This window comes from Homo sapiens, chromosome Y, assembly GCF_000001405.40.
Source record: "Homo sapiens chromosome Y, GRCh38.p14 Primary Assembly".
Classification (NCBI taxonomy): domain Eukaryota; kingdom Metazoa; phylum Chordata; class Mammalia; order Primates; family Hominidae; genus Homo; species Homo sapiens.
In genome coordinates this window covers 5727827-5742986 of record NC_000024.10, presented here as the reverse complement: position 1 = coordinate 5742986, position 15160 = coordinate 5727827, and the positions used below count along the sequence as shown (strand labels likewise).

At 34.7% G+C, this 15160-nt stretch overlaps 1 protein-coding gene across 5 annotated transcripts in view; it reads right to left on the bottom strand.

The window, feature by feature from the left end:
- PCDH11Y (protocadherin 11 Y-linked) overlaps window positions 759–15160 on the bottom strand; it is a 741933-nt gene continuing 727531 nt past the window's right edge. For 4 of the 5 annotated variants that reach the window (XM_017030079.2, XM_017030081.2, XM_017030080.2 and 1 more), the window contains one exon: window positions 759–5715. In XM_017030079.2, coding sequence (XP_016885568.1) covers window positions 5045–5715 — 671 coding nt within the window. In that variant the 3' untranslated portion in view covers window positions 759–5044. The remainder of the gene's footprint in view (window positions 5716–15160) is intronic. The other variant, NM_001395587.1, reaches the window with a different exon arrangement.

Genomic DNA, 15160 nt, shown 5'->3' with positions numbered 1-15160 from the left:
TTTTTTTCCCAAATGGCTGGAGTGAAGATGAGAAATAACACAAATTAACCTACACATATATTGTACTTCTTCTAAAACCCCAATCTCCTTTTTGCCAGAGGTTAAAATGTTGCTTGATTTAAATTTTCCTGTTTTTCTTTCTTCACCAGCTAACCCTTGGTGAAAATGAATAAATTAATATCACAATAATAAATATATGAGTGAGAAAAAATAATACAAAAAGCACTGGACTGTGCGGTATGTAATTCTTAATCAAAATTTGGGGCTAATAAAATTCTAAATGCAGTTACATATTTAGTGATACCTTGTAGTTTGAGAGGTTTCAATGAATTCTCTCCATTTAGCCAAAGTGAAAACAAAGCCAGGAGTAAAGTTATTTTGTTCCACAAATATTATCAACCATCTCCAGAAACTTATTTCACCTGGATCTCCTATGGTTGTACAGAGAAATCCTTAGGTAACTTTTACATTAAGTGAAGCAATAGATCTAATCTGGAATAAGTAAATATCACTTAAATCTTGTCTTGAATGATGCAAAATAAATGTTCAGAAACACTACAATAGTGTTCAGCAATTTTGAAAAGTGATTGAAATTATGTTCAAGTCAGAAATTATATTGAAGGAGTTTTCAGAGTGAACAAAAATATGCTAAATCCAAAATGTACCATTGAAAAAGGGTATTTTCTATATACATTTGAAAATCTATTTAAAATAAAGTGAATCATTTGAGTTTTGAATTAACACACACAATAAAAATGAATGTTTATTTCTCATAACTTTTATTAATATATATTAATAAGAAAACATGCAATACAGAACCTGAAATAGAACAATTAATACAAGTTTGCTTCTGGATTACATACTGCCATCCTTGGCCATACAATAGTCAACCTTCTTACTTCCAAAGCATGCTTGGAACTGCTTTGGGATACTGTTCACTTTCAGATGCTGTATGATATCACAGAGGAGGAATCTTCCCACAATACAAACATAAATACATATTTCATAAAAATCTTAATATTTTAAGCAGGGATAGTATAAATTTCACACAGTTTACTCTTTAAAAAGTATCACTTACAGTCACTAAACAATTGCCATTAATTTTTTTTATTTGTGCACATACATTTTTCTGAGCAGATTTTTTTGTTACTGTTTCTGCTGTTGTCAACTTGAACTGCTTTTAAAAATCATATTTACTAAAAGCACATGACGGTTAGTGTAAGAAAGCTACTGTGAAAGAATATTTTAAGGCCTCTGCATAAAATTGATCTGGTGTGGTAATTGGCACATAATATAGAAAGGTTCTTGCAGAAATATATTTCAGCTTCTCTTGTTCCCATGTTTTCCCAGCCAATTGAGCCAGTTGGAAACATTCAAAATAGTTTCTAATGGTCATAATAAAAAGTTTACCTAAACTAACTATAAATTTGGTTTCCAAAAAATATAAAAGAAGATAAGAAATAATAATTATAATAAAAAATATAAATCAGAAGAGTATAAATAAAAGTCTAAACAAGTAGATTTTCATAAATGTGTATTAGGGAGTATACACACCTTCAGTAATACCATGAAAAAGAAACAAACAAAAAAAACTAATGTTGAAATATCCATGTGAGTAAAACACCTTTAATTTTCTCAGGATTGAAAAGGATTTTTTTGTGTGTGTGACATAATTACATTTTAAGAACTGAACAATTTGTGATTTGTTTAGTCTATTTTTTTCCCATTTAATGACCATGTGTGATAAATATTAGTTTGGGAAGGCAGAGGCTCTTTGTAACTGCTACCATTACACAATAGCACTAACCATTTATTATTATTTTCTAACCAAATTTACATAATTAAAAGTAAAATGTTAAGTAAATAAGAATACACAAAATTACTCTCTAAATTTATTACATTGTAGATATCATATGTAAAAGCTAATTTTTAATACACTGACACAATATTAGTTAAAACACAGGTAAAGTTTAAGAAAAGAATGTGTATGCACGTAGCATATAAGATACTTAGTATTTGAATACATACTCACAAGTGTGATATAGTAATACCATAGCTAGAAAATTAATAATCACAATCTAATGGAATATGGACACAAAATAGAATAACTACTTTGATTGAACATATTATTCTCATATAAGTCATTCAGTTTGAAGTTTTAATTTCAAATCAAACAAAATCCTTTTTAAAACAGAACCATTTTTCGATTGTTGCTTCAGTAAGACGTTTTGCAGTTGTGGGACTACATACATCATACATCACAATAGCCACTTGTGTGCTGTGTCAACCTATACCACTGTCTATTCAGTCAAAGAAATAACTTGTAATGTGATGAAAAAGATATCATCAGATCTGAAGCCGTAGAAGTAACAGATTTCCAAGGCCAGACCTAGTGGACGCTTAGGAAGAGAAGGCATAGGGGAGAATAACTGGGCTAATACCCCTTGCCTCTTTGGCTACTCTCAGCCTGCTTCCATTCAAAGCCTCTCTGGTAAAAACCAAGAAGAGGGTGCCCAGTCATTTAATATTCTAAACACAATCTAAGTCTGATTATAAAATCAGAGTTAGAAAGGGTAATAAAAGCGTATTGGTTCATTCCTATATCTATAGGAAAGGTGTCAAAACTTCACAAGTTTCCAGATATGAGGATTTAAGAACCTCCCTAGTAACTCAATAAATTATACTGTCAGAAGAAAAATCCCAAATATCCAACTTTGAGTCCTATTTGATTTTCACTAACATAGATAGTAACCATTGAGATGCCTGATAAGTTATTTAATAATCTTTCAACCTCTTCTTTTTATATCCTTTAAATGTGTGTGTGTGCACGTGTGTGTGTGTGTGTGTGTATGTGTGTGTGTAGATCATCAGAAAACTAAAGGTTTGCAGAGAGAAAATGTGAAAATAATTAAAACACAAGAAAAAATCTCACATCATCTTTGCAGGTTTTTTGAGGCAAAGAATGTTCTAAAATCTACTGGAAGCACTGATTTTTGTCACTATTGGTTCTTTTCTTAATCTTCCCCAAGTTTACAATTTTCAACATCAACAATAGCCACAATATCAACACATTTGTGTGATAATAATTTAATAAACATTCAAATATCATCAGTCCTTCGGGATTCACATGCACCTGGAAAACCAGTATGCTCCAAATCCCTTGGAACATTAACAACACGAAGGAGAAAAAAAATTAATTAATTTTATTAATCAAACTCTGATAGTTAATAGTTAAGAAGTTATTCTGCACGCCCAGTCAAATATGACTTAAGGAACTTTACAATGGATGGGAATAATGTATATTCTGAAAACGCTACTTAACCTGCTGGGCACATGAAAAGAAACTTTCTCAATATTCAAAGGAAATCCTCACCAATGAAATTATGCAATTACCACAGTTTATGTTACAAAATTACAGTTTAATCATAAATTAAATATCAAGTTATACATTACAAAATCTATGTCTAAGTTAATCAATAGGAGATATTGACTCCCCCCCAACCCCAACCGCCCCCATTAAACATCAATTGTCTCTTGGTTTAGTGTTATACTGAAACAAGGTATTTTCTCAGTTTTGCTATGGAAGAAAATCAAGTTGGTGATGTTTCTGTACATTTATAAAATGTGCACATACAAGATAATGGCCAGTTAAGAGGATAAAAGAAGGAAATAACAGACAACAGGAGAAAACTAATGTTTTCTATGAATAGTACTGTTTCTTTGCTTAGAAGAATATATTTTATTTCATATATGAGATTTTGATGGTTTTTGTTCTGTGTGTGTTATTGGTATTTCTTCTTGACTGCAAGAAGCAGTCATGTGCCTTATTTCTCCCTCTGCATTTTTCCTTAAAATTCTGTTTGATGTAGATTTATAATTACATTTCTTGAAAAGTTCCTTCCTGATATTCTTGTTGTTATTAGTGGTTTTCTTCAGTAAGTTGAGCTAGAATAACAAAAATCCCTTAGTCTTATAGATTTAGTATGTGGTTTTATCTACAGTTACATGTATTTGTTATTTTTACTGAACACCCTTTGGTAACAGCCTATTGAGCTGTCAAATCAACATTTAAATCTTCCTGAGTTTCTCTACAAAATAGTAGTTTACCGTCGATATTTTAAGTGACTCGTGCTTTGGATGCATCCACCTCCTTTTAATTTTCTAGGCTGTTACATACAAATTCCCAGAAGTAAAGACCCAAGTAATAATGGACTACAGGCTTAAAATGTCAGATACAGTTTTATTTCTGATGTACTTTACACTAAACTATTAAAGTAAAAAGGGGCCCTTTTTAACAAATAGTTGCTTAATTAGGGCAGTTATTGCACTTCTGTGTCTCGAACTCTACTAAAGAGTAGAGAAATAGGTTGTAGATCTAGATCTGTACAGTTTATACATATTCTTTATTGAAAATGTATATACAAATTTTATCAACAATATAGTATTGGAATAAGGTAGAAAACATGACAGCAGAGAGACACAAACAAGCAGTATTTACACTACCTACTGTGTATTTTGAAGGGAGACTCACTAACAACAACAAAAAAACTGAAAACCACAAACAAAAATCAAAAAGAAAGCCCCAAAAAAGGCTAGAGTACGTATACCTTTTAACATTATCTGAACAAAAGTTTAGGTAAACTAAAGGTAAACTTAGAAAATAAGATATTTCTAGGCTTTCCATTTGCTACATACTGGTTCCACACAATCAGCATGGAAACAAATCAGTAATATTGCACATGATGATAAAAACAACAAAAAATACTGTACATCAGAAATAGTACGCTCTGTCATGATAAGCCTTACTGTACAAGGGGATGCAAATTGTTAAATTCCTTTTCTTTTTAAATACACATTCTGAATTAAACAAATTGCAATTTTTTGGTTAACTATTGACTAAGGGTCTAGCTGTAGATTTATTCTGGTATCTGTTTCTATTTACATAGTTATTTACAAATCTGATAATCAGAATACTCATTGGAATTGTATCTTAAATTTTGACTATATACATCTTTTCTGAAAATTTGAAGTAACTATTTTAGCTTTACAAGGGATGTGTTTCCATAATGGGGGAATCACCTCTGGACGGTCTGGCCTGTTGGCGTGGAGCGAAGGTTGTCAAAGGAATGACTTTAATTGAATCATCACTGGGATGAAGTCTTTCAGACATGGTGTAAAACTGAGATGTTGCACTACCTTGCACTCCCTGATCAACAGAGCATAGTCCATTAGCACCTTGCACCCAACCTTGCTGCAAACTGACTGATGATTGGGCCTGACTACGATGGAGGGCAATAACCTGTGGCAGAGAAGAGCTGTGGCTGATTGCAGCAGCCTGTGCTAAAGGAGGGCTGTAGCAGAGGGCTGAGGCCTGTGCTGATGGTGGGCTGTGGTGAAGTGCAGTACCCTGCACTAGAGGAGGACTGTGGTGGAGAGCAGACACCTGTATCGGTGGTGGGCTGTGGCACAATGCGATGGTCTGTGTCACTGGAGGGCTGTGGCAGAGAACAATGGTCTGTGTCACTGGTGGGCTGTGGTGCTGAGTAGAGGCCTGTGACAGTGGTGGGCTGTGGCATAGAGCAGAGGCCTGTGCTTGTGAAGAGCTGGAATGATCCAGAGATGCCGGCATCCAGCAGGCATCAGAATGGCCATAGATGAGACATTCTTGAGTGCAGTTGTCAGAGGCCTCTTCCACAGTTGGTTGAACAGTTATTTCTGCAGTTGTTGGGGTGAGGAAAAAAATAATAAAATTTATATTTCAAAGGCATATTTTTATTAGCTACTTAAATATCATTGTGACAAAAAAGGTAACAACCTATATACAAATGCATTAAAGACTTCCATTATTTATAGAGTTGGTATTTTTAATTTGTCAGTAATTCTTAGGGAAGTATAAATGACTTGGAGTGGGTGGATGAGGTCTCATTATCATAATTGGGATCCTTTGGCCTAGTATCCCAAATGTAGGTATTTTTTATTGTATCTGTGACCCTCAAGGAAACTATGATCATTCATCTATACATGCAAGTCAGCTGAAATATGGCTTCTAACTAGCACTGAGAGAGGACATAAAAGAGAAATTAATTGGAAAACAAATTATAAGAATATATAATGAACTAATTATAGCTAAAAAATAGTTAGCTAATAATAAATTACATAAATTTGGAAGTATAGTTTATTGAACTCTAAGATATGCCTTAGTTTCAAGAATAAAATATAGTCATAATTATTTCAAAAATAAGTGATTTCGGTATTCTTTATTTGCTGGAATCATCTTAAAATACAAGTTAGGAACATAATAAACTAGAGATCCAAGTATTTAGCTGTAAACTATAATAGTTTATAATACTCTTTTTATGAAATTTCTCTATAGTCTTCAAATGTCAATAGATATCAAACATCAATAAAAATATTATACAAATTTTAGTGAAATAGAGATGGAGTTACTATATCTATATAAAGTTTACTTGAGAGCAAGAAATGCTATCCAGTATAAAGAAATACATTATATGACAATAAAAAGATCAATTCTCTAAGAAGACGTATCAATCCTGTGTGTATGCACCTTACAACAGAGCTTCAAAATATAAGCAAAATAAGCTAGAAATGAAAGGATAAATAGACATATCCACAGTAATACTTGGAGACTACAATACTCCTTAGAACTTGATGGAAAAAATAGAAAATCAGTAAATGCATAGAAGACTTGAGCAACATAATCAACCAACTAGATCAAAATTTATATTAGTAGAACTATTCAATTTTAGCAAATTAGAAACAGGGGAATATCTTCAAATTGACATGCAGGTCCTACACAAAGATAACAGCTGACACGATATTCAAAGGTTAAATATTGAATACTTTTCCCCAAAAATCAGAAACAGTAAGGTTGACACCACTCCTATTTGACATAATATTGTAAGTTCTAGCCAATGAAATAAAGCAAGAAAAAGAAATGAAAGACATACAGATTGAAAATAAACAACACTGTATCTATTCACAGACACATTTAGGTATACATGTAACAAAATGTGTGTGGAATCTGTGTGCTTAAAATTAAAAAAAAGATGAAAAAAATAAAGAAAATCTAATTAAATGGAGAGATATACCATGTTCTTAGCTTGGAATATTCAATATTGTTATGATGTCAGTGGTCCCACAATTGATCCGTAAAGTCAACATAATCTAAATAAAAAGGAAATCTTAGATGGATCTTCTGTTTTTGCAGATATCAACAAGCTGATGCTATAATTTATGGGGAAAGGTAAAGGAATTAGATTAGCCAACCAATTTTGATTAAAAAAAACCTATTTGTGGACTCACATGATCTGATTTCAAGATTTACTATAGCACGTACCTAATCATTACAATGTAATAATAGCAAAATAATAAATACAAAATGATTAATAAAAATACAATAATCAGTCCAGAAATAGATCCACAAAATTCTAAAGTGATTTTCAACAAAGGTCTGAATTCAATGGTGAAAGTATAGACTTTTCAACAAGTGCCAACAGAATGATTATAGGTTATAAGCAGAAAATTAAAACTTGACCCACATCTTTAATCTTATAAAATAATTAACCTGGAATCAATCAAAAGTCTAAATGTAAAATGTAAAACTATACAACTTCTATTAGAAAATATTGGAGAAAATCTTTGTGACTATCAGTTAGGCAGCATTCTTAACTACAACATCAAAAGCACAATTTATTTTTAAAAATATGCTAAGTTGAGCTTATTTGTAATTAAAAATATTTACTTTGCAAAAGGCAATGTGAATGAATGAAAAGGCAAGCTACAGACTGGGTAAAAATATTTGCAAATCACATTTCTGACAAGGGAGTTATATATTTAAAAAAGGATGTAAACTAACAATAGATTTTTTTTCCAAGATGACTGATTAAATCCTTTTATCATGCCTCAGTGACTTGGAAATAGCAAGATAGTGCATAAAGATCAACTTTGTGAGCTTTAATTCAAGAAGAAAAATGAGAATCCACCAGTATTGTGAAGGGGGCCCCAGCGGGGAGGACATGGGAAAGCAGTCCATGTGATGGCATCCAGTTGATAAAAGTAAGTGAAGCCCCAGTACATGAGAGAGACAGAGAGCCTCCCTCTGTGACTCACCTTTCTACTGGGGATCTGAGCAACCCAAGAGGAGGGAGAATATTTTGTTTCTTTAAAGTCCTGGTGCTAACCTGGGGAGAGGCTTGGAGACCTGAGGGGAAAACACCAGGAAAAACTACAGAAATTTGCCCAGGCCAAGGACTGACAGCAGGATGCCATTTATAATCCAGGCACATACAAAATCAGCCATTCCTTTGAGACCTAGCAGTATGGCCATGCAGGTATTTTAATCTCAGGCCAGAGATTGGAACACCTGCTCTGGAGCAGGGTAGGGGCTTCCATAGCCAGAACTGTAGAAAGCACCACAGCAGTAGGTACCAGAATTGTACACTCCCCTGTTGAAGCCCTGGGGCAGGAGAAGAGCTGCTATAGCTGTGTTTTCTCCTGGATGATGACACTTTCATTCAAGGCCAGCTGGCAACCTGAAACTGACTTGCGTATGCCATTAATGGGTGCCACAGCATGCTCCCCTTGAGATGTGGTATAGCAGGGCCCTCTCCGTTCCACCTCCATGCAGAAATCCAAGCATCTGGAGCGCCCACTTGCTTGAATCAGCAATCTGAGTTGCCCCACTTTTCATGGACATAAATTGTGGTATAGCAGGCACTTCGCACTCAATACCCAAACAGATCTCCAGGTGTTTGAAGCACTTCCTCACCTGGATCAACAGCTTTACCTGCCCCTATTTCTGTGCATAGATGGTGGTGCAGTGGGGCTTTCATCACAACACATGCAGACAGAACTCCAGGAATTTGGAGTACTTGCTCACATGGACTAGTAGCCTGAGCAACACCCCCCTTGTTGGCCATGGATCATGGTGCAGTCAAGCCCTCTACATTTTATGCCCAGGCAGATCTTCAGACATTCAGATCACTCACTCACCTGGTTCAGCAACCTGGAGCTGCCCACCCCTACTATGCAGAGATCTTGGTGAAGGGTGGTTCTCTCTGCTTCACAAACAGGCATCTCTCTCTGCTCCACACCCAGGCATATCTCCAGGCATGTGGAGCACTCGCTCTCTGACCTGGATTAGGAATTTAGGCCTCCCCTAATCCCTGTCCAGAGAACTTGGGGCTGAGGAGGTTTCCCAGCTCCATGCCTAGACACACCTTTGGGTGTTTAGTGGCTGTCCACTGGATCCTTGCTAAGTGCTGGTGTTTGTGCCTGACATCAGGGGACATTTAGGCAGGCCATGCTAATCTTGGACCTGTCCTAACATAGGACAGAGCAAGGAGCTCAGACAACTGTGCACTCCACAGATCAGCCCATTGCCTAAGATGAGAGAGAGCTTCTCCCAGTAAACAAGGATCATGTATATACCTAGCCACATCGGGTACAGCCAGCTCTCACCCATAAGTACCATCTACTGGCTTGTAGGTTGAACTACACACATCAATATAAAACCTGTCAACGAAACTACATAGGGTTACAGAAGCAAAGACAAGTGACCATACCCAGCATTCACTACAGTCACACCCTGTAGGGAGGAGAGGAAAGGGAAAGGGAAAGAAAAAAAATAATAATGTTACACTGAAATAAAAAACAAAAGAAAATATCCTAACACAAAATTACAAAAATTAGAAGTGCCAACATTCTCAGATGAGAAGAAACCAATGCAATAATTCTAGCACTATGAAAAATATGAATGCAGTGACATCACCATAGAATTGCAGTACCCCTCCACCAATGGTCCTTAACCAAAATGTAAATGCAGAAATCACAAAAAGAATTCAAAGCATGGATTTCAAGGAAGCTCAGTGAGATCCAAGACAAGCTGAAAATGAACACAAATAACTTCTAAAGCAATCCGGGAAATAAAGAAAGAGATAAACATCTTGAAAGAAAGCAATCAGAACTTCTGGATTTGACAAACTAACTTAAGGAATTTAAAAAATACAATTGAAAGCTTTATCAATAGACTGTACCAAGAAGAAGAAATAATTTCAGAGCTTAAAGACCAGTATTTTGAAATAACATAGCCAGATAAAAATAAAGAAGAAAAGAATTTTAAGAAATAAGCAATGTTTTTGAGCAATATTAGATGATGTAAAGCGAAGAAACCTGCAAATTACTGGCATCCCTGAGGAAGAAGTGGACAATGTAGGTAACTTGGAAAACAATATTTGAGGTAACAATTCAATAAATGTTCTCTGATCTTGCTAGAGAGACAGATATCCAGATTCAAAAAATCCAGAGAACATCTGAGAGATATAATACAAAATGAGTATCACCAAAGCATATGGTCACAAGACTGTCCAGGTTTAACACACACACACACACACACACACAACAACAACAACAAAAAACTTAAAGGCAACTAGAGAAAAACGTCAGATCACATACAAACGAACCCCATCAGGCTAGCAGTGAACTTCTCAGCAGAAACCTTAAAGCTAACAGAAATTGGAGGCCAATTTTTAATATTCTTAAAAACAAGAAATTCCAACCAGGAATTTTATATCCCACCAAACTATGTTCCATAGGCAAAGGAGAAACAAACGATTTTACAGACAAGCAAGCCCTGAAAAACTTTGTTACCAGCAGGCCAGCCTTACAAGAGATTATTGAGGAAGTTCTAAACATAGAAATCATAGCAGCTAGCAGGAAAACAAACTTAAATACATAGCCCAAAGACCCTATAAAGCAACCACAAAATAGGAAACACAAAGCAAACAGCTAACAACTTCATGATAGGATTAAAACCTCAGATATCAATATTAACCTTGAATTTAAATGGCCTGAAGGTCCAATTTAAAAGATATGGAGTAACAAGCTGCATTAAAAAGCCCTATCAGTCTGCTGTCTTCAACAGACCCAACACACATGCATAAACATCCATAGACTCAAAGTAAAGATCTAGAGAAAGATCTACAGTGGAAACAGAACACAAGAACAGGGGTTGCTATTCTTATATCAGATAAAACAGAGTTTAAAGCAATAACAACAAAAAGAAGGGTATTACATAATGGTTAAGTGTTCAATTCAACAAGAAGACTTAACTATACACATACATATGCACCCAGTATTGGAGTGTTTTCTTCTTATAAAACAAGTTTTTCTTGGTCTACAAAAAGACTTAGAAAGCCACACAATAATACTGGGGGATATCAACATCCCACTGACAGCATTAGACAGATCATCAAGACAGAAAACTAACAAAGAAATTCTGGACTTGAATTTGACACTTAACCAGTTGGACCTAATAAACATGCACAGAATACTCTACCCAATATACATGTATATACAGAATATATAAAGCATAGTCTCAATAAATTAAAAAAATTGAAATCATACAAACTATTGAAAAAAATAAATAAGATTGACAGGCTACTAGCTAGATTAACAGGAGATGACCCAAATAAGCACAGTCACAATAGACAAAGGTGGCATTGCAACTGATCCCACAGGAATTCAAAAGATCCTCAGAAAATATAAACACCTCTGTGCACACAAAATAGAAAATTTAGAGGAAATTGAGAAATTGCTGGAAGCACACAATCGCCCAAGATTGAATCAGGAAGAGATTGAAACCGTGAACAGATCAATGCTGAGTTTTGAGATTGTATCAGTAATTTTAAACACTACCAAACAAACAAACCAAAAACAAAACCCAGACCAGATGGATTCAGAGCCAAATTGTACCAGACATACAAAAAAGAGATGTTACCAATGCTACTGAAACTATTAAAAAAAAATTCTAGTAGTTAGGGACTCCTCTCTAACTCCTTCTATGAGGCCAGCATCATCCTGATACAAAAACCTGGCAAAGACACAACAAAAAATGAAAATTATAGGCCAATATCTCTGATTAACAAAGACACAAAAATTGTCAAAAAAAATATACTAGGAAACTGAATCCAACAGCACTTCAAAAAATTAATTGACCGTGAAGACTGTGATCAAGTAGGTTTCATTCTTGGGATGCAAGATTGGTACAGCATATGCAAATCAATAAATGTGATTCACCGCATAAACAGAAGTAAATTTAAAAAAAATGTGATCATCTCAATAGACACAGAAATAGCTTTTGATAAAATCCAGCATCTCTTCATGATAAAAACTTTCATATATTAGTCACTGAAGGAACACACCTTAAAGTAATGAGTCATCTATGACAAACCCACAGCCAACATCATACTAAACAGGCAAAAACTAGAAGCATTCTTTTGAAAGCTAGAATAAGACAAGGATGCCCATCTTCAGTACTCCTATTCAACACAGTACTGGAAGTGCTAGACAGAGAAATCAGGAAAGATAAAGAACTAAAGGCATCTAATTAGGAAAAGAAGATGATAACCTATGTCGATTCATGGCCAGTAGGATTCAATATGTAGAAAACCCTAAAGAACATTGAAAGGCTCCTGGAACACAAAAGATTTAGCAAAGTTTCAGCATACAAAATCAATGTGCAAAAATCAGTAGAATTTCTATATATTAAAGCTGAGTGCTGGATCAAGAATAGAATTTTATTTGCAATAGCCAAAAAAAAAAGCTAGGAATAAATCTAACCAAGGCAGCAAGAGGCTTGTTTGTACAAGAAGAACTACAAAACACTGCTAAAAGAAATATTAGATGACACAAACAAATGAAAAAGTATCCTATGCTCATGGATTAGAAGAATAAATATAAAAATGGCCATACTATCCAAAGCAAAATACAGATTCAACACTCTTCTTATCAAACTACCAAAGTCATTTTTCCAGAATTTGAAAAAAAAAACTGTTCTAAAATTTATATGGAACCACAAAATAAGCCAAATAGCCAAAATAATCCTAAGCAAAAAGAACAAAGCTGGAGGCATCACATTATCTGATTTCAGACTGTACTATAAGGCTACAGTAACAAAAAGAGCACGGGACTGATGCAAAAGCAAACACATAGACCAATGGAACAGAAATAGAGAACCCAGAAATAAAGTTGCACACCTACAGCCATCTAATATTTGACAAAGTTGACAAAATTAAGCAGTGGGGAAAGGACTTTCTATTCAATAAATTGTGCTGGGACAGTTGACTAGCCACATGTAGAAGAATGAAACTGGACCCCTACCTATCACCATATACAAAAATTAACCTAAGATGAATTAAAGATTTAAATGTGAGACCAATAACTGTAAGAATTCTAGAAGGAACCATACGAAACACCATTCTGGACATTAGCCTTTGCAAAGAATTTATGACTGAATCCTTAAAAGCAATTGCAACAAAAACAAAAATTGACAAATGGGACCTAATTAAACTAAAGAGCTTCTGCAAAGCAAAATAAGCTATCAACCAGGTGAACAGACAACCTATAGAATGGGAGAAAATGTTCCCAAAGTATACATTCAGCAAAGGTCTACTATCTAGACTGTAGAGAATATAAACAAACAACAAGCAAAAAACAAAAGCCTCCATTCAAAAGTGGGCAAAAAATATAAACAGACACTTCTCAAAAGAAGACATACAAGGGGCCAACAAACATATAAAAAAAATTCCTCATCATTCTTCACCAGATAAATGCAAATCAAAACCACAATGAGAATCTATCTCACACCAGTCAGAATAGCTATTATTAAAAAGCCAAAAAACAACAGACGCTAACAAAGTTGAGGAGAAAAGAGAATTTTTATACACTATTGGTGGGAATGTAAATTAATTCAGCCTTTGTGGAGAGCATTTTGAAGATTTCTCAAAGAACACAAAACAGAATTACCATTCAACCCAGAAACTCTCATTACTGAGTATTATCTCCAAAAGAAAACAAATTGTTCTACCAAAAAGACACATGCACTTGCATGTTGACACAGCACTGTTCACAATAGCAAAGACATGGAGTCAACCTAGGTGACCATCAGTGGTGGACTGGATTTCTTATATATAGCACGCATATACCATAGGATATACGCAGTCTTTAAAAGAACAAACTATGTTATTTGCAGCAACATGGGTGCAGCTGGAGGCCATTATCCTAAGCAAATTAACACAGCAACAGAAAGCCAAATATTGCATGTTCTCCCTTATAAGTGGAAGCTAAACATTGGGTACTCATGGAAATAAAGACAGCAACAATAGACACTGAAGAGTATTAGAAGGGAGAGAGGGGAGAAAGCGTTGAACAACTATGAATATGATGAGATTATTCATACCCCAAACCTCAGCGTCACCCAATATACCCAGGTAACAAATCTGCACATGTACCCCCTGAATCAAAAATAATAGTTGAAATTTAAAAAACTAAAAAACAACAATAAGAAAATGAAGAACTCAATTAAAAAACTGGCAAATATCTGTATAGACTATCAAAGAAGACATGAATATGTCAGATAAGCATATAATTAGAGGCTCAGCACAGTCAGACATTAAAGAAACACAAATTTAAAATGCAAAGAGATACCATTCTATTTGAGTGATTAAAAGAACAAACTAAAAATACCAAGTGCTGGTAAGTATTCCAAACATCTAGAATCTTCAGTTGATGCTGCTGCTGACACAGAATGGCACAGAGAATTTAGATAACAGTTTGTCAACTTCCTATACAGCTAAACATACACTTGAAAAACAAAAACAGAAAAAAAACCCAGCAATTCCAGTCCTGCATATTTATGCAAAATATTTGAAAACGTATGTTATCGTAGAAATTTTTATGTGCAAGTTAAACATCATTATTAATAATCACCAAAAGGTAGAAATGACCCTTACTGTCTTTCAGCTGGTAAAAGAATGAACTGTGTCATAGCCACACACTGAAATACTACTCAGCAATAAAAAGAAGCATATTGATTCTTAGAGCAACATGGATGAATCTCAGATGAATTTTGTTAAATGAAAGAAGCCATAATCAACAGTCTACATCGTGTATGGTTCCTATTATATAACATTCTGGAAATGGCAAGCTTATAGGGATGAAAAACATACCGGTGATCGCCAGGAGCTGGGAATTCAGGTAATGTTGACTAGCAGAGCAGCACAAATAAATTTTGGGAGTAATGAAAGTGTTCTCTATATGAAAATGGTGATAGATACATGATTGTATGCATTTGTCAAAACTG